The sequence below is a fragment of the Homo sapiens genome, chromosome 16 (genome assembly GCF_000001405.40).
Source record: "Homo sapiens chromosome 16, GRCh38.p14 Primary Assembly".
Lineage (NCBI taxonomy): Eukaryota > Metazoa > Chordata > Mammalia > Primates > Hominidae > Homo > Homo sapiens.
In genome coordinates, this window is record NC_000016.10 from 18,983,243 (window position 1) to 19,007,734 (window position 24,492).

The 24,492-nt window shown below is 48.3% G+C and overlaps 1 protein-coding gene across 9 annotated transcripts in view, besides 2 other annotated features; it reads left to right on the top strand.

Annotated features, from left to right (window-relative positions):
• Positions 603–662: a silencer, noted in NCBI's record as "silent region_7239". NCBI's record gives its function as "represses an Ori minimal core promoter by ATAC-STARR-seq in GM12878 lymphoblastoid cells {active_cell/tissue: GM12878}" and the evidence as "EXISTENCE:reporter gene assay evidence [ECO:0000049][PMID:35858748]".
• TMC7 (transmembrane channel like 7) overlaps positions 692–24,492 on the top strand; it is an 80,009-nt gene continuing 56,208 nt past the window's right edge. For 6 of the 9 annotated variants that reach the window (NR_136733.1, NM_024847.4, NM_001324265.1 and 3 more), the window contains exon 1: positions 692–888. Coding sequence is in view for 4 of the 9 variants with exons in the window: in NM_024847.4 (NP_079123.3) it covers positions 822–888 (67 nt within the window). In the remaining 5 variants the exon portion in view is untranslated. Of the gene's footprint in view, positions 889–1,044; positions 1,340–23,452; positions 23,544–24,492 lie in introns of those variants that run through there. The other 3 variants (XM_047434662.1, NM_001160364.2, XM_047434661.1) reach the window with 3 other exon arrangements.
• Positions 5,745–6,039: an enhancer, noted in NCBI's record as "tiled region #10247; HepG2 Activating DNase matched - State 5:Enh". NCBI's record gives its function as "activates a minimal TATA promoter and a strong SV40 promoter by Sharpr-MPRA in HepG2 cells {active_cell/tissue: HepG2}" and the evidence as "EXISTENCE:reporter gene assay evidence [ECO:0000049][PMID:27701403]".

Consider the following 24,492-nt stretch of genomic DNA (forward strand, 5'->3'; position numbering starts at 1 on the left):
ACTGCGCCTGGCAATTTTATGTTTTTAACCTGCACACGAACAGAGGTAGAGATGAAACGAGGATATAGTGCAAAACGTAAAAGACAAACACTGCACGTGGTTTTCTCTTCACTCGGCCCTCTAGCTCCCCACCCAGAGCTACCACAGGTAGCCAGTTTTTTGCACCCTCTAGGGAGATAGCTTAGGCATTTACAAGCATGTACAAATATATTTTTTGGTTTCCTTTTTGTTCCCAAATGGTAACTTACTAGATGCACTGATTTGGAGTCTTGGGGTTTTTTGCGTGTGGACTTTTTATTTTTTAATTTTAAAGATGGGGGTCTCACTGTGTTGGCCAGGTTGGTCTCAAACTTGTGAGTTCGTGCGGTCCTCCAGCCTCGGACTCCCAAAATGCGAGGATTACAGACGTGAGCCACCACTCCCAACCAGTTATTTTTGTTATTTATTTCTTTATTAGATCAGGTTTGATTTTAGATGCAGGGGGTCCATGTGCATGTTTGTTACATGGGTGTACCGGGTCCTGGTGGAGACTGGGCTCCCAGTGCGCCCAATCTATTGTTATTTTTTAAGCTCAGTGAGACATCAGGGAGGTCGCTGCTTGTCGCCACCGCTGGATGGAGCCTTGCCGGATCTCCCGGGCTCTGCAGCCCCTCTGCGGTCCCTGATGCTCGGCTCCTCGCGGGGGCGCCCCACTCCGGCTTCTGTGATGTCAGCGCCGGAACCTGGAATCCCGGCTCCGCGAGGGAAGGCCGGGGAGGCGGCGGCGGCGGCGGCGGCTGGAGAGGGTCCTCGGCAGCCTCTGAGGAGCGCGGGGCGCGGCCATGAGCGAGTCCAGCGGCAGTGCGCTCCAGCCCGGCAGGCCCAGCCGGCAGCCGGCGGTCCATCCAGGTAGGGCGGCAGGGAGCGCGCGCGGGGACGGTGCCCCTGGGGTCCGAGGGCGCACGGAGGGAGCCGGGTGCTGGAGGCTCGGCCTGGCCGCTGTTCCCTCCCACCCCCGACGCCGGGTGCTCCCGGCTCTGGGGAACAGCAGGTGGGAAGGAGATCTTCCTTATTCCTGCTCCCTCCACAAACGCGTCCTCATCCAATCCAGTGGAACCCAGCCGGGCCAAAAGGACACGAGAACTGCAGTCTGGACCGTGGTGGGTTTGTCTTCCAGCTGTTGACCGAGACAGTCTTTCAATAGCCTCATCTGCTGTTAAATGAAAGGATTTGAGCACCCCCTCCACGCCTAACATTCTGGTATGAGGTGCCTGCCTCCCGGACATTTCAGCCTTCACATACAGTTAGACCAACTTGAAACCGAATTCTGCCTTGTCTGTTTATTGCTGTGGGACCTTTGGTAAGTGGCTTGCCTTCTCTGAGCCTCAGATCCTTCAGCAGTAAAATGGGAATAGAATGGGGCGGGGATTAGCTGAGAATCGTGTGATGTGTCTAGCACAGTGCCTGGCATTGTGGCTAGACAGTCACAATAAATGGTAGCCAGCCAAGTATTATAATCTTTTGTATCGGGTAGAATTACAGTAAAGTATACAGCTCCATGAATTTCTACAGAAATATGTACAACGGCTGCCCAGTCAGGATAAAAAAGTTGCCAGCACTCAGGCAGGGTTCCTTGTAGCATTTGGAGCTTACGAATCTTGTCCTGAACAAAACACAAGACCCTGCTGTAAAGTTTTATCTGCAATGTTTTCTCTTTTTCAGTTTTAGAATAGAGATTTACTGAAACCAAGGATGTAGGGCCGGGCGTGGTGGCTCACGCCTGTAATCCCAGCACTTTGGGAGGCTGAGGCGGGTGGATCACGAGGTCAGGAGTTCAAGACCAGCCTGGCCAAGATGGTGAAACCCCATCTCTACTGAAGATACAAAAATTAGCCAGGAGTGGTGGTGGGTGCTTGTAATCCCAGCTACTTGGGAGGCTGAGGCAGAGAATAGCTTGAACCCGGGAGGCGGAGGTTGCAGTGAGCCGAGATTGCGCCACTGCACTCCAGCCTGGGCGACAGACCAAGACTGTTTCAAAAAAAAAAAAAGAAACCAAGGATATAGAATAAAACATGAGTGTAGATTTGGTCATTGAGGCCTTCAAATTGGATTGTTCCCAATGTCCAGAAGAAAAAAAAAATTTAGAAGAGACCCAAATCAGAAAACAAAAGTTGGGGTGGATTCAATGCGAATTATTTTCTAGCTCAATATTAATACTGCTTATGTCAGCTGAATTTCAGCCTTTCAATAACAGCTAGTCAAGTATTTTTTTAGTTGGTTCCTATTAATAGTCATCTTATTTTAGTGGAATCCATTATATTGAAGATGTCAAGTTCCTCATTTCCCATACAAAGAATGTGAGATTCATCTTTCTTGCATCTTTGCTAAGTGTATGAGGGGACTTTTGGCATCTTTTCAGGAGGACTATAATTGGGCCCTCTAACTAAAAAGTCTTCTATGCCCCTTAGATAGATGAGTTTTTTTTTTTTTTTTTTGATCTTGTACCCACCAACATTGGTGGGAGGCTCAGAAGGGACTGTGTTTGTAACTTTGTAGCACTTTCTAAACAGTGACCTGTTGTATGGGCATTATAGGACAGTCCGTGGGGTGGGGCGGGGGATGGGGGAGGCGACAAATGAGGTCTGGTTTAAAGAATGAGAAGTGTGACCAGGCATGGTGACTCATGCCTGTAATCCAGCACTTTGGGATGCTGAGGCAGGAGGATCACTTGAGCCCAGGAGTTTGAGGTTACAGTAAGCTATGATTATGACACTGGGCTCCAGCCTGGGTGACAGAACTAGACCCTGTCTCTAAAAAAAAAAGAAGAGGTATGTATCCTTCTAAATGATAAAACAGATCACTCCCCTGCTTACATAAAACTTTCCGGTGGCTGGCCAGGCACAGTGGCTCACACCTGTAATCCCAGCACTTTGGGAGGCCGTGGTGGGCAGATCACGAGGTCAGGAAATCGAGACCATCCTGGCTAACGTGGTGAAATCCTGTCTCTACTAAAAACACAAAAAATTAGCCAGGTGTGGTGGCATGCACCTGTAGTCCCAGCTACTCGGGAGGCTGAGGCAGGAGAATCGCTTGAACCCGGGAGGTGGAGGTTGCAGTGAGCCGAGATTGTGCCACTGCACTCCAGCCTGGGTGACAGAGACTCTGTCTGAAAAAAAAAAAAAAAAAAAGATGGGTATGGCGGCATGTGCCTGTAATCCCAGCTACTGGGGAGCCTGAGGCAGGAGAATCGCTTGAACCTGGGAGGCAGAGGTTACAGTGAGCCGAGGTTGCACCACTGCAGTCTGCCTGGGTGACAGAGCTAGACTCTGTCTCAAAAACAGAAAAACAACTTTCCGGTGGCTTCTCACTGCTCTGAGAATAAACTCCAGGCTCTTCCATCGCAACCAACAGGATCTGGTGATTCGACCCCAGCCCCTCTTTCCAGGCCCTCATCACCTTGATCCTCCCTTAACCTATCCTGCTCTAGCTGCACTGGCTGCCTTCCTATTCCTCCAGCATACCAAGATTGTTTCTGCCTCAGGGTCTTTGCATCTGCTGTTCTCTTCGCCTGGACTCCTCTTGGTTCTTTTTTTTTTTCTTTGAGATGGAGTCTTACTCTGTCGCCCAGGCTGAAGTGCAGTGGCGCGATCTCGGCTCACTGCAAGCTCCGTCTCCCGGGTTCATGCCATTCTCCTGCCTCAGCCTCCCGAGTAGCTGGGACTACAGGCATCCGCCACCACGCCTGGCTAATTTTTTTGTATTTTTAGTAGAGACAGGGTTTCACCGTCTTAGCCAGGATGGTCTCGATCTCCTGACCTCGTGATCCGCCCGCCTGGGCCTCCCAAAGTGCTGGGATTACAGGTGTGAGCCACCGTACCCGGCCATAGAGCAGCCTCTTCCTTTTCCTGTTGGGTCTCTACTCAAATGTCATGTCAGAGAGGCAGACCTCTGGGGCGGTCTATCTGAGGCAATGCACCCATCTCACTTCCTCTGACCAGTTAGTTACCTTGCTTATTCTTTCAAAGCTCTTACCACCACCTGAAGTCATCTATCTGGTTTGGTTATTTTCTTGTTTAGTAGCAGTCTTTATTTTATTATTATTATTTTTTGATGGAGTCTCACTCTGTTGCCCAGGCTGGAGTGCAGTAGCGCGATCTCGGCTCACCACAACCTCTGCCTCCCAGGTTCAAGCGATTCTCCTGCCTTAGCCTCCTGAGTAGCTGGGACTACAGGCACGTGCCACCATGCCCAGCTGATTTTTGTACTTTTAGTAGAAACGGGCTTTCACTATGTTGGCTGGTCTCGAACTCCTGACATCAAGTGATCCGCCCACCTCGGCCTCCCAAAGTACTGGGATTACAGGCATGAGCCACCACGCCAGGCTGGTAGCAGTCTTTCCTAGAATGTGGATGCCTTGGAAAACAGGGGCTTTGCCTTGTTTCCCTAGAACCTAGAATGGCATCTGGCACACAGCAGATGCTACATCTATTGTGAATGAATAAATGAATGAATGAAAGAAGTGTCCTTGCAGCCACACTGGCAGCCGTAACATAGTGGTTATAAAGCTAGACTCTGGAGTCTCAAGTGCAAATGTCATTGGCCTCTCCTCCAGCCTCCTCAAGGGACACTCAATGAAAGAACCTGGAAGGGCCTTGATATGACTGTGGTTGGACTGACCTGACTGCCAGATGGTGGGACTTGGTCTGGAGCAGGGACTACTTGGAACGGTAGAGGCAAAACTCAACAGCCCCTGGAGCTGCGCTTGTGGTGGAGCTGGACACTGATTTTAGCTGGACCTTGTTTTTAGAGACAGGGTTTCCTTCTGCAGTCTCAAACTCCTAGCCTTGATTGATCCTCCTGCCTTGGCCTCCCAAAGTGCTGGGACTACAGGTGCATGCAGCCACACCTGGTTAATTTTCTTTTCTTCTCTCTTTCTTTTTTTTTTTTTTTTTTGATGGAGTCTTGTTCTGTTGCCCAGGCTGGAGTGCAATGGTGCGATCTCAGCTCACTGCAACCTCTGCCTCCTGGGTTCAATCCATTCTCCTGCCTCAGCCTCCCAAGTAGCTGGGACTACAGGTGTGTGCCACCAGGCCTGGCTAATTTTTGTATTTTTGGTAGAGATGATACTTCACCATGTTGGCCAGGCTGGTCTCGAACTCCTGACCTCAGGTGATCCACCCACCTTGGCCTCCCAAAGTGCTGGGACTACAGGCGCATGCAACCACGTCTGGCTAATTTTTTTGAGTTTTAGTAGAGACTGGGTCTGGTTATGTTGTCCAGGCTGGTCCCAAACTCCTGAGTTCAATCGATCTTCCTGCCTTGGTCTCCCAAAGTGCTGGGCCTACAGGCGTGAGCCACCATACCCAGCCCAATTTTTGTATATTTTGTAGAGACAGAGTCTTGCTATGTTGCCAGGCTGGTCTCAAACTCCTGGGCTCAAGGGATCTTCTTGCCTTGGCCTCCTGGAGCACTTGATTACGGGCATGACTGCATGTGCCGTTGTGCCTATACTTTCTGGAGATACGTTGTTAGGAATTTATGTAGTTGGCCGGGCACAGTGCCTCACACCTGTAATCCCAGCACTCTGGGATGCCGAGGCTGGTGGATCACCTGAGGTCAGGAGTTCAAGACCAGCCTGGTCAACATGGTGAAACCCCGTCTCTACTAACAATACAAAAATTAGCTGAGTGTGGTGGCACATGCCTGTAGTCCCAGCTACTTGGGAAGCTGAGGCAGGAGAATGGCTTGATCCCGGGAGCAGAGGTTGCTTGCAGTGAGCCAAGATCATACCATTGCACTCCAGCCTGGGCAACAGAGTGAGACTCTGTCTCAAAAAAAAAAAAAAAAGGAATTTACATAGTTGAACAACTATTCTTTGGACGTCTTTCAGTCCAGTAGACGGTGTTAAACTTGAAGACAAATAACCATTTGACCTGTGATATTTGTTTTTCCCTCTTATCTTCTAAGCCCATTCGTCCAGGTCATTCATCACCTTTAAAGGCATCCCCAGAGGGAGGCAGGTCTGGACAGAGCTGAAGATTGCACAGGCCATTTGCAGGCTGGATTCGTTCTCTGGTGACCCACCCGTCTGACTCGAGTTATTTTTTCCCCATGTCTGGACAAGACTGACCTCTGCCCAGCAACTCAGGCCTGGATTTAGTCCAAGGGCCCTCAGTGGCTTTTTTTTGTTTGTTTTTTTCAGGAAGTGAAGAATTTAGAGGGATAAAAGGCGGAAATAACTTTTCGGCCTCTGACCTTTGTAACAATCTGGTTTCCTTTTAAAGGAGCATTGTTTGGGCCTGGGGCCACCTAGACCTTCTGATGCTCTGTCCCCACCCTTGGAGGAGGAGGAAGGGAAGAAAATGGGCCCTGAGCGATCACCACATACCAGGCCCTGGGGGTCTAGTGGCGAAGGAGGCAGGTAGGGTCTCTGCTTTCATGGAGCTTCTAGTCAAGCGAGACGCACTAAACGGTAAAGGGACAAATAGGATTACTGGAGGTAGCCCTAACTACTGGGACAGAAACAAGATGGTAAGATAGAGAAGGAAGAGTGGCCTGCTCAGGTGGGGTGGTCCAGAGGCCTCTCGGGGGGAGGCGACTCCTTTTTTTTATTTTTTTTGAGATGATATCTAGCTCTGTCGCCCAGCCTGAAGTGCAGTCGTGTGTTTCATGCGCGTCCATGTGAAGAGACCACCAAACAGGCTTTGTGTGAGCAACATGGCTGTTTATTTCACCTGGGTGCAGGCGGGCTGAGTCCGAAAAGAGAGTCAGCAAAGGGTGGTGGATTATCATTAGTTCTTATAGGTTTTGGGATAGGCGGTGAAGTTAAGAGCAATGTTTTGCAGGCAGGGGTGGATCTCACAAAGTACATTCTCAAGGGTGGGGAGAATTGCAAAGAACCTTCTTAAGGGTTGGGGAGATTACAAAGTACCTTCTTAAGGGTGGGGGAGATTACAAAGTACATTGATCAGTTAGGATGGGGCAGAAACAAATCACAATGGTGGAATGTCATCAGTTAAGGCTATTTTTACTTCTTTTGTGGATCTTCAGTTACTTCAGGCCATCTGGATATATACGTGCAAGTCACAGGGGATGCAATGGCCTGGCTTGGCTTGGGCTCAGAGGCCTGACAGTGTGATCTTGGCTCACTGCAAACTCTGCCTCCTGCGTTCAAGCAATTTTTGTGCCTCAGCTTCCCGAGTAGCTGGGATTACAGGTGCCCGCCACCATGCCCGGCTAATTTTTGTATTTTTAGTAGAGACAGGGTTTCACCAGATTGGCCAGGCTCGTCTCGAACTCCTGTCTCACGTGTCCGTGTGAAGAGACCACCAAACAGGCTTTGCGTGAGCAGCGTAGCTGTTTATTTCACCTGGGTGCAGGTGGGCTGAGTCCGAAAAAGGAGTCAGCAAAGGGTGGTGGGATTATCGTTGGTTCTTATAGGTTTTGGTATAGGCGGTGGAGTTAAGAGCAATGTTTTCGGGGCAGGAGGTGGATCTCACAAAGTACATTCTTAAGGGTGAGGAGAATTACAAATAAACTTCTTAAGGGTGGGGGAGATTATAAAGAACCTTCTTAAGAGTGGGGCAGATTACAAAGTACATTGATCAGTTAGGGTGGGGTAGAAACAGATCACAATGGTGGAATATCATCAGTTAAGGCTGTTTTCACTTCTGTGGATCTTCAGTTGCTTCAGGCCATCTGGATGTATACGTGCAGGTCACTGGGATATGATGGCTTAGCTTGGACTCAGAGGCCTGACATTCCTGTCTTCTTATGTTAATAAGAAAAATAAAACAAAATAGTGGTAAAGTGTCTGGGCAGTGAAAATTTTTGGGGGTGGTATGGAGAGATAATGGGTGATGTTTCTCAGGGCTGCTTCGAGCGGGACTAGGGGCAGCATGGGAACCTACAGTGGGAGAGATTCAGCTGAAGATTTTGGGGTAAGGGCTGATATTGTGGGGTTGTTAGAAGGAGCATTTGTCATATAGAATTATTGGTGATGGCCTGGATATGGTTTTGTATGAATTGAGAAACTAAACAGAAGACGCAAGGTCTGAATAAGAGAAAGAGAAAAACAGGTATTAAAGGACTAAGAATTGGGAGGACCCAGGACATCCAATTAAGAGAGTGCCCAAGGGGGTTCAGCATAGTTATTTGCTTGGTTGGCAAGTTTTTGGGCTCTATCCTTGAGTTTTTTTATGTTGTCATATACCAGGCCAGATTGATTTAGGTAAAAACAACACTCTGCATTTAAAAATATACAGAGTCCTCCTTTTTCAGCAATGAGTAAATTGAGGCCTCGGCGATTTTGGAGGAAAGAGAATTGCAAAGCCAGCAATTGTTTCTTTTTTATTTATTTATTTACTTATTTTTTTAAATTATACTTTAAGTTATAGGGTACATGTGCACAATGTGCAGGTTTGTTACATATGTATACATGTGCCATGTTGGTATGCTGCACCCATTAACTCATCATTTACATTAGGTGTATCTCCTAATGCTATCCCTCCCCCGTCCCCGCACCGCACAAGAGGCCCCGGTGTGTGATGTTCCCCTTTCTGTGTCCAAGTGTTCTCATTGTTCAATTCCCACCTATGAGTGAGAACATGCGGTGTTTGGTTTTTTGTCCTTGTTTGTTTGCTCAGATAGTTTGCTGAGAATGCTGGTTTCCAGCGTCATCCATGTTGCTACAAAGGACATGAACTCATCCTTTTTTGTGGCTGCATAGTATTCCATGGTGTATATGTGCCACATTTTCTTAATCCAGTCTATCATTGATAGACATTTGGGTTGGTTCTAAGTCTTTGCTATCGTGAATAGTGCCACGATAAACATACGTGTGCATGTGTCTTTATAGCAGCATGATTTATAATCCTTTGGGTATATACCCAGTAATGGGATGGCTGGGTCAAATGGTATTTCTAGTTCTAGATCCCTGAGGAATTGCCACACTGTCTTCCACAATGGTTGAACCAGTTTACAGTCCCACCAACAGTGTAAAAGTGTTCCTATTTCTCCACATCCTCTCCAGCGCCTGTTGTTTCCTGACTTTTTAATGATGGCCATTCTAACTGGTGTGAGATGGTATCTTATTGTGGTTTTGATTTGCATTTCTCTGATGGCCAGTGATGATGAGCATTTTTTCATGTGTCTGTTGGCTTCTTAAATGTCTTCTTTTGAGAAGTGTCTGTTCATATCCTTTGCCCACTTTTTGATGGGGTTGTTTGTTTTTTTCTTGTAAATTTGTTTGAGTTCTTTGTAGATTCCGGATATTAGCCTTTTGTCAGATAAGTAGATTTCAAAAATTTTCTCCCATTCTGTAGGTTGCCTGTTCACTCTGATGGTAGTTTCTTTTGCTGTGCAGAAGCTCTTTAGTTTAATTAGATCCCTTTTGTCAATTTTGGCTTCTGTTGCCATTGCTTTTGGTGTTTTAGACATGAAGTCCTTGCCCATGCCTATGTCCTGAATGGTATTGCCTAGGTTTTCTTCTAGGGTTTTTATGGTTTTAGGTCTAACAGTTAAGTCTTTAATCCATCTTGAATTAATTTTTGTAGAAGGTGTAAGGAAGGGATCCAGTTTCAGCTTTCTACATATGGCTAGCCAGTTTTCCCAGAACTATTTATTAAATAGGGAATCCTTTCCCCATTTCTTGTTATTGTTAGGTTTGTCAAAGATCAGATGGTTGTAGATGTGTGATATTATTTCTGAGGGCTCTGTTCTGTTCTATTGGTCTATATCTCTTTTTTGGTACCAGTACCATGCTGTTTTGGTTACTGTAGCCTTGTAGTATAGTTTGAAGTCAGGTAGCATGATGCCTCCAGCTTTGTTCTTTTGAAAGCCAGCAATTGTTTCTTAAAGAAGGATTAGAGATGGCTAGGAGAGAGTGAGTGAGATTGATAGTGTGGTGGAGATAGCTGGGGAGAGGTAGAGGGTGGCATAAGAATGGGAATGAGAACAAGAGTGAGTATAAAAGTAAAGAATAGGACTTCATCAGGGTGAAAGTGTTGGAGTGTGTCCTGTCAGCAAAGATCATCTATCCACTCCAAGAGGGAGTCAAGAGTGGAGGATTGGGGATAGATATTCACGATGGAAAGGAAATGAGAAGTTTTAAGAGGTGGGCTAACAGCTTGTAACCTACATGGAAGAAGTTATGAAATGATGACAGAATAGAATGGGCCTGTGAGGCTGGAAGGAGATATTTTCCTTGATCCAAGAACCATTTGCCTTGTGTGGGAAGAGATTGATAGGTGGAAACTTCAGTAGAAGAGTAAATAGGAGTGACCAATGAGAAGGAGAAAAACGGGCCATGAGGGACAGAAGTTGAAACGCTAGCTGCTTCTTTAACTACCTTATCAGCATAAGTGTTGCCCTGAGTGATGGGATCTGATGCCTTTTGATGGCCCTTGCAGTGAATGACTCCAGCTTCCTTTGGAAGTAAAGCAGCTTTGAGAAGTTTTTATTAGAGAGGCATTAATGATGGAGGACCCTTGCATAGTGAGGACATTCTTTCTGCCCATATAACAGCATGGTGGTGCAGGATATGGAAGGCATATTTAGAGTCAGTATAAATATTGACGTGTAGTCCCTTTGCAAGAGAGAGGGCCCGAGTTAAGGCAATGAGTTCAGCCTGCTGAGAAGTAGTGGAGGGGGGCAGAGTGGTAGCCTCAATGATAGATGTGGAAGATACTATAGCATAGCCTGCCTTTGCTGGTGAGTGGTGATTAGGCCTGGTGGAGCTGCCATCAATAAACCAAGTGTGATCAGGGTAAGGAACAGGAAAGAAAGAAATATGGGGAAATGAAGTGAATGTCGGGTGGATCAGAGAGATACAGTCATGGGGGTCAGGTGTGGTATCTGGAATAATGTGGGAGGCTGGATTGAAGTCCAGGCCAGGAACAATGGTAAGTGTGGGAGACTCAACAAAGACTGAGTATACCTGAAGGAGCTGGGGGGCAGAAAGTATATACTTCAAGTGTGAGGAGGAAAATAGATTTTGAAAGTTATGAGAACTGTAGAGAGTAAGTGGAGCATAGTTTGTGATTTTGAGGGCCTCTAAAAGTATTAAAGCAGCAGCAGCAGCCGCCACATGCAGACATGAGGGCTATGCGAAAACAGTAAGGTCAAGTTGTTTGGACAGAAAGGCTACAGGGCGCACTCCTGGCTCTTGTGTAAGAATACTGACTATCGTGCCACTGCACTCCAGCCTGGGTGACACGGCGAGACTCTTCTCAAAAAAAAAAAAAAGAATTCTGACCGCACAGCCCTGTACTTTGGCTGTGTGTAATGAAAAGGGTGGGGATGAGTTAGGGAGAGCTAGTGTGGGAACAGCTTTTAGGGCTGCTTCTTAAGGAATGGAAAGGGGAGTGGGGAAAGGAGTTAGGATTTATGGGGTCAGCTAGGTTTATCTAGAACAGAATGGGTTGTGGAGGGAGGTATTGAGGATAGGAGAGTATATGGGTTTGGCACCACGGGGTGGATAGGGAAGATAATTTGGTTGATAAGGCTCAGATCCTGAACTAACCTGTAAGACTTGTCCAGTTTTTGGACAGCTAAAATGGGGGAATTGTAAGGAGAGTTTATAGGCTTTAAAAGGCCATGCTGTAACAGGCAAGTGATAACAGGCTTTAATCCTTTTAAAGCGTGCTGTGAGATGGGATATTGGCATTGAGCGGGGTAAGGGTGATTAGGTTTTAATGGGATGGTAAGGGGTGCATGATCCGTTGCCAAGGCGGGAGTAGAGGTGTCCTATACTTGTGGATTAAGGTGGGGAGATACAAGGAAAGGATGTGAGGGAGGCTTTGAACTGGGGGAAAAGGCGGCAATGAGGTGTGGCTGTAGCCCAGGAATAGTCAGAGAAGCAGATAATTTAGTTAAAATGTCTCATCCTAATAAGAGCTGGGCAGGTGGGGATAAATAAAAGGAGTACATTAAAGAATGTTGTCCAAGTTGGCACCAGAGTTGGGGAGTTTTAAGAGGTTTAGCAGCCTGGCTGTCAATACCTACAACGGTTATGGAGGCAAGGGAAACTGGCCCTTGAAAAGAGGGTAATGTGGAGTGGGTAGCCTCCGTATTGATTAAGAAGGGGACAGACTTACCCTCCACTGTAAGAGTTACCCAAAGCGTCCGTGATGGTCCGGGAGGCTTCTGAGGTGATCAGGCAGCATCAGTCTTCAGCCACTAAGCTGAGAAGATCTGGGAAGGAATCAGTCAGCGAGCCTTGGGCCAGAGTTCCAGGGGCTCTGGGAGTGGCTGCCGGGCGAGTTGGACAGTCCAATTTCCAATGGGGTCCCACACAGATGGGACACGGCTTAGGAGGAATCCTGGGCTGCGGGCATTCCTTGGCCCAGTGGCCAGATTTCCAGCACTTAGAGCAAGATCCTGGGGGAGGCGGTCCTGGAGGAACGCCTGGCCGCTGCGGTTCAGACGTTTTGAAGTTCTTGTGTGCTAGAGATGTGGCTGGGGTTTCTCTCACAGTGGAGGCAAGTAATTGCAACTCAGAAATACGTTGCTACTTGGCTGCATCTACTCTATTATTGTACACCTTGAAAGCGAGGTTAATAAGGTCCTGTTATGGGGTTTGAGGGCCGGAATCTAATTTTTGGAGCTTTTTCCAATGTCAGGAGTGGACTGGGTAATAAAGTGCATATTGAGAATAAGACAGCCTTCCTCCTGGATCTAGGACAGTAAAGTGTCTAAGGGTTGTTGCCAAGCATGCCATGAACTGGGCTGGGTTTTTATATTTGATGAAAAAAAACCTAAATGCTAACTGATTTGGGAGTGGTCAGATAAAGAAACCTTGACTTGCCTTTAGCTCCAGCCACCTTTTTAAGAGGAAATTGTTGGGCAGGTAGGGGAGGGCTAGTTGCAGAACGAATCTGTAAGCCAGACTGGGTGTGAGGAGGGGAGGTGACAGATAGATCCTAGGGTTGGGGAGCAGCGGCTGAGGAAGAATTGGGACCTGGCTTGGCCTGGCGAGGAGCAGCCTGGGGAGAAGGGGAGAGGTCAGATGAGTCTGTAGAAAAGAAGGATTCAAAGGACTCAGAGCTTGGGGTGGTGACTGAGGGAACAGACAGGAGAAAGAAGAAAGATTTGGGACAAGTCGCATTGGGAGCAGAGACTAGGGAGGGAGCAATGTGTAAAAGAATGCCTGGATGTCAGGCACCTCAGACCATTTCCCATTTTTCAACAAAAATTATCTAGATCTTGTAGGAATTTGCCCATTTTTCGACAAAAACTATCTAGATCTTATAGGATAGACAGATCGAAAGTGCCATTCTCTGGCCACTTGGAACTACTGTCGAGTTTGTATTGGGGCCAAGCAGTATTGCAGAAGAAAATAAGGCATTTAAGTTTTAGGTCAGGTGCGAGTTGAAGAGGTTTTAAGTTCTTGAGAACACAGGCTAAGGGAGAAGAAGGGGGAATGGAGGGCGGAAGGTTGCCCATAGTGAAGGACGTTAGTTTAAAGAGAAAGGTGGAGACACAGAGAAGGGGGTGGAGAGCAGCCCTGGGCTGCAATGTGGGTGAGCAGCCAAAGCAGGCGTCTCCGCAATTGACTTGCCACCAAGGGAATGTGGGTGAATGACCAAGGCAGGCATCCCTGCGGTGATCAGACACCAATGAAATGTGGGTGAATAATCAGGCAGGTGTCCCCGCAGTGATTAAACATCAAGGGAAGGCTGTCTTCCCAAGTCCATGACTAGCGCCGGAGTTTTGGGTCCACGAATAAAATGTGTCTCTTTTGTCTCTATTAGAGAGGAAAAAGAACTGGAATTGGAATGACAGGGAGATTGAAGGGTAGCGAGAGAGGCCAGAGAAGAGTGAAAAGACTGCTTACCTGATTTGAAATTGGTGAGATGTTCCTTGGTCTGGTTGGTCTGAGGACCCGAGGTCATAGGTGGATCTCCTCACGGAGTGAGGGCGAGGACAGGGGACCGGTCTCCCGAAGGAGTCCTCCCGTCCTGGGTTTTGGCATCAAATGTCTCACATGTCTATGTGAAGAGAACACCAAACAGGCCATCTGGATGTATATGTGCAGGTCACTGGGGATACGATGGCTTAGCTTGGGCTCAGAGGCCTGACACTGACCTCAAGTGATCAGCCTGCCTTGGCCTCTCAAAGTGCTGGGATTACAGGTATGAGCCACCGTGCCTGGCCTTTTTATTTTTTGAGACAGGGTCTCACTCTGTCACCCAGACTGGAGTGCAGTGGTGTGATCTCGGCTCACTGCAACCTCTGACTCCTGGATTCAAGCGATTCTCCTGCCTTAGCCCCCCAAGTAGCTGGGATTACAGGCGCCCACCACCACACCCAGCTAATTTTTGTATTTTTAGTAGAGACAGGGTTTCGCCATGTTGGCCAGGCTGGTCTCCAACTCCTGACCTCAGGTGATCCAGCCACCTCTGGCCTCCAAAGTGCTGGGATTGAGCCACCGCACCCAGCCACCGCACCCGGCCTCAGGCACTGTTTTGAGCCAAGGATCTGCAAACAACTCCTGTGCCAAATCCAGCCTTTTTTTTTTTTTTTTTTGAGATGGAGTCTTGCTCTGTCGCCCAGGCTGGAGTGCAGTGGTACGATCTCGGCTCACTGCAAGCTCCGCCTCCCGGGTTCACACCATTCTCCTGCCTCAGCATCCCGAGTAGCTGGGACTACAGGCACCCACCACCATGCCCGGCTAATTTTTTTTTTGTATTTTAGTAGAGACGGGGTTTCACCATGTTAGCCAGGATGGTCTCGATCTGCTGATCTCGTGATCCGCCCGCCTCGGTCTCCCAAAATGCTGGGATTACAGGCGTGAGCCACCAAGCCTGGCCAACCTTTTTTTTTGTAATTCAACCTTTAGTAGAACACAGCCATGCTCATTCGTTTATGGATTATCTGTGGCTGCTTTCCTGCTACAAGGACAAAGCTGAGTAATTGCAAATAGTAAATTCCTACCTCTTTACAGAAAACGTTTGCTGACGTCTGTTCTAAGCACATTACATATGATTGCCATCTAATCCTCAGGACAGCTATAGGAGGTAGGAACCGCTGTCTACATTTTATAGGTGGGAAAACCAAGGCATGGAATGGTCAAGAAACTTGCCAGGTTATGCAGGCAGCAAGTGAGGCTGGTGTCCAAATCCAGGCAGGGTGGGTTGGGAAACTGTGCTCTTAACTGCCAGGCCTTGCCACCTTCTCGGACAGACAGAATTGCAGTAACTGCCCCACAGACCCCTGACCAGATGCTCCACGGGCATGAAAAGCAGGGGCTTGGCTGGACGCGGTGGCTCACGCCTGTAATCCCAGCACTTTGGGAGGCTGAGGCGGGTGGATCACGAGGTCAGGAGATCGAGACCATCCTGGCCAACATGGTGAAACCCCGTCTCTACTAAAAATACAAAAAATTAGCCGGGCGTGGTGGCGGGCACCCATAGTCCCAGCCACTTGGGAGGCTGAGGCAGGAGAATGGCGTGAACCCAGGAGGCGGAGCTTGCAGTGAGCTGAAATCAAGCCACTGCACTCCAGCCTGGGTGACAGAGTGAGACTCTGTCTCAAAAAAAAAAAAAGAAAAGCAGGGGCTTGAGGGCTTGAGTTCCAGGCCCAGCAGCAGCTCTTATGATGGAGTTAGTCACTGCTCCTGAAGGCTGTTTGCTCATCTGTTTGTAAAGCCTTAGACCCAGCCAGTCACCGGCCCCACCCAGGTGCCAGTTGACGTGAGTCATGCAGTTTCTCCTGACACTACTGTTACAAAGTCTAGCAGATCCGGGAGGCTACCAGGGCCTCTGGCTCCTCCCCTCTCAGACTAAGCTCTGGGCTGCTGTGATTGAGGCCCCTCTATGCTGTATTTATTTATTTTGAGACAGTGTCTCTCTCTGTCACCTAGGATGGAGTGCATTGCTTCCATCACAGCTCACTGCAGCCTCAACCTTCCAGGCTCGAGCGATCCTCCCACCTCAGCCAAAAAAATGTTTTATTTTTCTGTAGAGACAGGGTCTCACTATGGTGCCCAGGTTGGTCTTGAACTCCTGGGTTCAAGCAATCCTCCCGCCTCATCCTCTCAAAGTGTTGGGATTATAGGCATGAGCCACTGCATCCAGCCAGTCATATTTCAATTGCTTAATAGTCCCATGTGGCCAGTGGCCACTGTATTGGACAGTGCAGATATAGAACATGCCCTTCATTGCCGAAGCCCAACAAAGGGTAAGCCACCATGCCCGCACCCCTGACTTATTTTTCTCCATGCACTTATCAACATCTGAAATACATTGTTTTTACTTGTTTAATGTCTGTCTCCTCCAAATAGAATGTAAGTTTCGTAAAAGCAGGGAAATGGTGTGTGGTCTTCAAGGCTATGTTGTAGTCCTAGAACAGTGCTTGAGTGGTGATAGTTGCTCAGTAAATGTTTCTGAGTGACTGACTGGTGGGTGAATACATGAATAGATGGATGGGTGGGTGGTCTTTCCAGGAGCAGGGCAATGATCAGCCACTGGCTTTGGAGGGCTTCTTGCAATTGATTGACATGTCATAGCAGCTTCAACTAGAGTCTGGGGACGTTTTTTTGTTTTTGTTTTTGTTTTTTTTGAGATAGAGTCTCGCCCTGTTGCCCAGGCTGGAGTGCAGTGGCGCGATCTCGGCTCACTGCAAGCTCTGCCTCCCGAGTTCACGCCATTCTCCTGCCTCAGCCTCCAGAGTAGCTGGGACTACAGGTGCCCGCCACCACGCCCTGCTAATTATTTGTATTTTTAGTAGAGACGGGGTTTCACCATGTTAGCCAGGATGGTCTCGATCTCCTGACCTCGTGATCCACCCGCCTCAGCCTCCCAAAGTGCTGGGATTACAGGCGTGTAATCACGAAGGCTGCGAGCCACCACGCCGGGCAGAGTCCGGGCTTTATGAGTTCTTGGGTTAAGACCCTTTAGTAGCTGTAAACACAGATTATCTGGACACCCTCCCTCCACTTAACATCCAAAATAAAAACAATTCAGCCAGGCATGGTGGCTCACGCCTGTAATCCCAGCACTTTGGGAGGCTGAGGCAAGTGGATCATTTGAGGCCAAGAGTTCGAGGGCAGCCTGGCCAGCATGGTGAAATCTTGTCTCTACCAAAAATACAAAAAATTAGCCGGGCGTGGTGGTACACGCCTGTAATCCCAGCTACTTGGGAGGCTGAGGCAGGAGAATCGCTTGAACCCGGGAGGCAGAGGTTGCAGTGAGCTGAGATTGCGCCACTGCACCACTGCACTCCAGCCTGGGTGACAGAGCAAGACTCTGTCTCAAAAGCAAAAACAAAAAATAAAAACAATTCAAGTGAAAAGAAGTCCATAATGTTCTGAGATTGATATCTACATCGACTTATCGGTAATATCAAATTGTGTGTGCATGCATGACATTTTATCATTTCATGAGAAGAAAAAGCAAAGCACATTTCTAATAGGGCTGGTTTGTGTAGAGTACCTGAAATAGGAAGAATGTGATATATGGTCAACATCCCAGTCAATATTTTTTGCCAGCTTTTTTTACCCTGTAAATTATTTTTGTTCCAGGTACGGTGGCTCACCCCTGTAATTTCAATACTTTGGGAGGTGGAAGCAGGTGCATTGCTTGGGTCCAGGAGTTTGAGACCAGTCTGGGCAATATGGTAAAACCCCATCTCTACTAAAAATACAAAAAATTAACTGGGTGTGGTGGCACACACCTGTAGTCCCAGCTACTTGGGAGGCTGAGGCCAGAGGATTGCTTGAGCCTGGGAGGCAGAGTGAGTGGAAATGGCACCACTGCACTCTAGTGTGGGTGACAGAGTGAGATCCTGTCTCAAAAATAAAACACCAAACAAAACAACAAAATGTTTTGTATTGTGAAAAAAATACATCATTCATATAGAGAAGAATAATATTCAAGGGTTAAATTCCTAAAATCTTTTACTCATTTTTTTGACACCCTTTCTTTCCTGGTATGTAAAGTACTTTGGTTGGCGTGGTGGGTGATCTAACCTATCTTGTATCCTCAGCATCAAATTCATTCATTCCTGAATTATTCATTCATTCAACTTAGAAGGTATTTATTAAGCATCTGTCCTGTACCAGGCTCTGTGCTAGACCCTGGTAATTCAGCAGTGACAGAAAGAGATAAGGTCCCTGCCTTCATAGAAGTTATAGAGTCAGAGACAACACACAAGTAAAAAATTAAAAAGGACAGAGTAGGCTGAGTGTGGTGGTTCACACCTATAGTCCCAGCACTTTGGGAGGCTGAGGTGGGAGGATCACTTGAGCCCAGAAGTTCGAGACTAGCCTGGGCAACATAACGAGACCTCATCTCTATTAAAATATATGCATATTAACTGGGTGTAGTGGTGCACACCTGTGGTCCCAGCTACTCAGGAGCCTGAGGCGAGGAGTATTGCCTGAGCCTGGGAGATCAAGGCTGCAGTGAGCTATGATGGTACCACTGCACTCCAGCCTGGGCAACAGAGCAAAACCTTGTCTTAAACAAACAACACAAAAAGGATGGAGTAGTAACAGGGGTGAGTGAGTGCGGTGGAGTGGGTACTTAGGAGCTATGTGGTGTTTGAAGGAGTGAGCAAAAGCTCATCAAAGCACAGAGCAAGTCTTCATCTTCTCCAGAGTCCCAACCTCCAGTCTGGAGTCTGGCCCAGAGAGAGGATCCACGCAAGTTGTCAAACAGAACTAATTCCCATAGCAGCTGGTGAGAGGCCTGGATCCAGTGACCTACAAGGTCCCTTTTTACCCAGAGTTTCCATGATACTTTGTGTGGGAAACAAACCCCTGCTGTGAACTCAGCACCAAATACGGTTGGGCAAGTTTCTTGGCTAGAACGCGGGGGAAGCTGGTGGTGGTTTTAGTGCCATTTAGATCATACTTGGCTGGTGCCCACATCCTGGGAGGTTCATGCCTGTTGGTAGGATGTGGTGTCCTGTGGGAAAAGTTGCCAAGAAAGGACCTCAGGATGCTCACCAGATGTACCTGCCTCTGCCACTGCTCATTCATTCATTCATTCATTCTTCAGATGGAGGGCCGCTTTTTTTTTTTTTTTTTTTAAGATGGAGTTTTGCTGTTGTTGTCCAGACTGAAGTGTGATGGAGTGATCTCGGCTCACTGCAACCCCCGCCTCCTGGGTTCAAGTGATTCTCCTGCCTCAGCCTCCCAAGTAGTGGGATTACAGGCATGCATCACCACGCCCGGCTAATTTTGTATTTTTTTAGTAGAGACAGGGTTTCACCATGTTGGTCAGTCTGGTCTTGAACTCCTGACCTCAGGTAATCCACCCGCCTTGGCCTCCCAAAGTGCTGGGATTACAGGCGTGAGCCACAGTGCCCAGCCCGGATGGAGGGCCTTCTGTGAGCAAGACACCGCTTTTAAGCCTCAGAGAGACTTTGTCCTTAACCTGGAAGAATAGTATATGGCAGAAAAATTGGCTATGCCTGGCCCTGCTCCCTCATGTCTCCTGGAATTACCCAGTCATCCTCCTACCTAAGTAATAATCTCCTAATTGCTGAAATCTGGCCCCAGTGACCAAGAAGTTCTAGGCATTCTTAGAGGCACCCCAATATCTGAAATATGCTACCTGCTCCTGTGCAGATGGTCAACAGCAGCCCACGCTGACCACAGGACTACAGTGGCCATCCCAACAGCAAGGCTCTTGGCTGGACCAATTCAGTAGAATGTCTGACAATAACTGTAATGAGATGATCTTATTCTTTAAGGATGAGAAGGACATCAAGGCTCTAAGTGGTGAAATGACCTGTGGTAAAACCAGGAGTCTGTCTTGACACTCAAGTCTTGGGCAAGTCACCATGCCTGGGCCTCAGTTTCCCTGTTGGAAAGCCAGAGCAGGCCAAGGGTGGTGGCTTATGCCTGTAATCCCAGCCCTTTGGGAGGCTAAGGCGGGAGGATCACTTGAGCCCAGGAGTTTGAGACCAGCCTAGGCAACAAAGCAAGACCCCGTCTCTACTAAAAACTGAAAAAGAAAAAAATTATCCAGGTGTAGTGGTGTGCATCTGTAGTCCCAGCTATTTGGGAGGCTGAGGTGGGAGGATCGCTTGAGCCCAGGAATTCAGGTTACACTCCAGCCTGGGCAATAGAGCAAGACCCTATCTCAAAAAAAATAAAAAATACCAGGGCAACGGCCGCCCCTACTGGGAAGTGAGGAGCCCCTCTGCCCGGCCAGCCGCCCCGTCCGGGAGGGAGGTGGGGGGGGTCAGCCCCCCTGCCCGGCCAGCCGCCCCGTCCGGGAGGTGAGGGGCGCCTCTGCCCGGCCGCCCCTACTGGGAAGTGAGGAGCCCCTCTGCCCGGCCACCACCCCGTCTGGGAGGTGTGCCCAACAGCTCATTGAGAACGGGCCAGGATGACAATGGCGGCTTTGTGGAATAGAAAGGCGGGAAAGGTGGGGAAAAGATTGAGAAATCGGATGGTTGCTGTGTCTGTGTAGAAAGTAGAAGACATGGGAGACTTTTCATTTTGTTCTGCACTAAGAAAAATTCCTCTGCCTTGGGATCCTGTTGATCTGTGACCTTACCCCCAACCCTGTGCTCTCTGAAACATGTGCTGTGTCCACTCAGGGTTAAATGGATTAAGGGCGGTGCAAGATGTGCTTTGTTAAACAGATGCTTGAAGGCAGCATGCTCGTTAAGAGTCATCACCAATCCCTAATCTCAAGTAATCAGGGACACAAACACTGCGGAAGGCCGCAGGGTCCTCTGCCTAGGAAAACCAGAGACCTTTGTTCACTTGTTTATCTGCTGACCTTCCCTCCACTATTGTCCCATGACCCTGCCAAATCCCCCTCTGTGAGAAACACCCAAGAATTATCAATAAAAAAATAAATTTAAAAAAAAAAAAAAAAATACCAGGGCAAGTGAAGCCCTCTGTGCTTACCTCTGCAGGTTGGCGTGAGAAATGAGGTGACGTCATGCTGGGAAAAGTGTGTGTTATATGCAAACGAGGGGGTGGATCCTAGTTATAAAAATAATGATGCCTGTGTTCAAAGACATGGTCGTGACATTTTTTGTTTGAAGTTGAGGAACTTCCCTGGAGTGTCTAAAGAGGAAAAATCAGAACAGTTCTTCCTAGGAGGGGGTAGGTGGTGTATGAAAAACAGGATAATTACCTAGTTGATTTGTATGGAATTTTATTTTTATTTTTATTTATTTATTTGTATATATTTTTTGGGATGGAGTCTTGCTCTGTTGCCCAGGTTGGAGTGCAGTGGCGTGATCTCGGCTCACTGCAACCTCCGCCTCCTGGCTTCAAGCAATTCTCCTGCCTCAGCCTCCTGAGTAGCTGGGATTACAGGCACTTGCCACCATGCCTGGCTGATTTTTCTAGTTTTAATAGAGACGGGGTTTCACCATGTTGGCCAGGCTGGTCTTGAACTCATGACCTCAAGTGATCCACCTGCCTCAGCCTCCCAAAGTGCTGGGATTACAGGCGTGAGCCACCGTGCCCAGCTTATACGGTATTTTAACATTTACAAACACTTTTAAATCCATGGCCCCCTGAATTTTTTCATGGTGAAGACTACAGCTTTGGGGTCTGATAAACCTGTGATGGGTTCCTAGTTCCAACACTTACTGTGTGAGCAAGCAACACTTACTAATTGTCTGAGCCTCAGTTATTAATCTGTAACATGGAGATAATTCTTTTGTTTGTCTTTTGGGTTTTTTTTTTCTTGGAATTGGAGTCTTGTTATGTTGACCAAGCTGGTCTTGAATTCCTGGGCTCAAGCAATCCTCCTGCTTTAGCCTCCCAAAGTAGCTGAGACCACACCAGCACAATGGGGATAATTCTCTCTAAAGAGTAGTTCGGAGTATTAAGTGTGACGATGCATGTTAAATACTTTATTTTATTTATTTATTTATTTATTTATTTATTTATTTATTTATTTATTTTCTGAGACGGAGTCTCGCTCTGTCGCCCAGGCTGGAGTGCAATGGCAAAATCTTGGCTCACCACAAGCTCTGCCTCCTGGGTTCACGCCATTCTTCTGCTTCAGCCTCCCAAGTTAGCTGGGACTACAGGCACCCGCCACCATGCCCGGCTATTTTTTTGTATTTTTAGTAGAGATGGGGTTTCACCATGTTAGCAGGATGGTCTTGATCTCCTGACCTCGTGATCCACTCGCCTCGGCCTCCCAAAGTGCTGGGATTACAGGCGTGAGCCACCACGCCTGGCCCGCATGTTAAATACTTTAAATGGCCTGGTACAAGGTAGGCAAGTACTCAATAAATCTTAGCCAGTGTTGTTCATGTTGTTTGCAACTCCTTCCTCACCATCATGCTGATGAGGCCCATGGTATTAGATCCTCCATTCCCGAGATGAGAAAAATGTGACTCTGAGGCAGCTGTGGTCTCTCCTGGGGTGGCTTGGCTGGTGGGTGACAGGCCAGTATTTTAAACCAACCCAGGCTCCAGCCTGGGGCCCCTGACCCCACAGCTGTTGAATATTCAGTAGGTCCATGCTGTTCTATATTCAAAGACCTTTGTTTGTGGCTAATAATAGCTCTTTGTTTCTGCTTGCAGGAGGGTAGCCTCCATGCAGGGCTTAGACCCTTTTCCTTTTCAGGGACCACACCCACCCTACCCTCATATTGGCTCTAGGGAGCCACTGCCACTAATGGAAGTGTGTCATATCCTCAGGGTGTGCCAGGCAGGGAGGTAGAAGGGTGGGTGAGGCTCGTAGACTTGCACATGGTGATTGGCAGGGCCCCAGCCACGTGTCCATGTGTCATCTACAGTGGGACAGCTGCTCCATTGTGTCTGAACTTGCCTATCCGAGAAAGGCAAAGATTACAGTGTCAGAGCCAGGCCTTGACCGGTCCCCACCTGGCCCTGCCCCTGCCCATCCTCATCCGGTTGGTGCCTTTATGGAGCTCTGTGTGTGCCGAGCACTGCCTGGGACCTTCTACCCATGTGATCCCCTTTAATGTTCATAAACAGGCTGTGTAGCAAGTCCTGACCCCAGCCTTGCCCTTGCAGCCTCCAGGGTGACCTTTTTTTTTTTTTTTGGACGGAGTTTCGCTCTTGTTGCCCAGGCTGGAGTGCAATGGCACGATCTCGGCTCACTGCAACCTCCGCCTCCTGGGTTCAAGCGATCCTAAATAGCTGGGATTACAGGCACGCGCTAGCGTGCCCAGCTAATTTTGTATTTTTAGTAGAGACAGCGTTTCTCCATGTTGGTCAGGCTGGTCTTGGACTCCCAACCTCAGGTGATCCCCTTGCCTTGGCCTCCCAAAGTGCTGGAATTACAGGCGTGAGCCACCGTGCCCGGCCCAGGGTGACCTTTTAAAATGCAGTCAAAGCACAACATCCCAAGGTCCTGCCACAGTCTACAAAGCCTGACTTGGTTCGACCCCAGCCACCCCTCTGACTTTAACGTTTCCATTCTCCCTGTCCTAAATACCTATTGTTGCTCAACACACTGCTCCAAATGTGCTGGCTTAAGCCATGTTGTTATTTCTGCTGATTCTGTGCATCAGGGACGATGCAGGGCACGGGGGAGCCCGCTTGCACTGCTGCCTGGGATGTCTGCTGGCGCTGGAGCACCCAAGATGGCCTCATCATGGCGATGCCTGGTGAGGATGCCCCAGGGGTTTTTTTTGTTTTCTTTTGTTTTGCTTTTTTGAGACAAAGTCTTGCTCTGTCGCTTAGGCTGGAGTGTAGTGGTCCAATTTCGGCTCACTGCAACCTCTGCCTCCCAGGTTCAAGCTATTCTTCTACCTCAGCCTCCTGAGTAGCTGGGATTATAGGCGCGTGCCACCACGTGCAGCTAGTTTTTTTTTTTTTGTATTTTTAGTAGAGATGGGATTTCACCATGTTGGCCAGGCTGGTCTTGAACTCCCCACCTCAGGTGATCCGCCTGCCTCGGCCTCCCAAAATGCTGGGATTACAGGTGTGAGCCACCGTGCCTGGCTGTCCCAGGGGTTTGAAGACACGAGCCTGGGGCCTTGGTTCTTGCAGTCACCCAGGTTGTTGGTTCTTTTTGTAGGCTTAGGGGCTCTTCCTCTCCACCTCATTGTCCTAGGCAGTTGGACTTCCTACCAGGTAACCCTGGCCCGAGAACACAGAAGTGGCTACTGCAAGGCCCTCTTATGACTTTGGGCTGGAAATGGCAGAGCATTACTTCCATTGAGTCCTTTGGTTAAAGCAAGCACAGGTCCTGTGCAGATTCAAGGAGGGGACCACGCAGAGGGCCAGGCCAGTGTGGCTCATTGGAGGCCACCAACGAAACCGCCCACCAGGTTCTTGCTCATTAACTCTTCCTCCAACCTGTCACACACTCTTCTGCCGCTGGGCCTTTCCACTTATGGGTTCCCTCTGCCTGGGGTGCTTTTCCCCAAATATCCAGGGGTCTCACCCCTTCCCTTCATTCAGCCTTAGCTAAATGTCACCTTTAAAGAGAGACCGAGATCACGTGCCACTGCACTCCAGCCTGGGTGACAGAGCGAGACTCCGTCTCAAAAAAAAAAAAAATAAATAAATAAAATAAAGAGAGACAATACCTGACCCCACCTTATCAAAAAC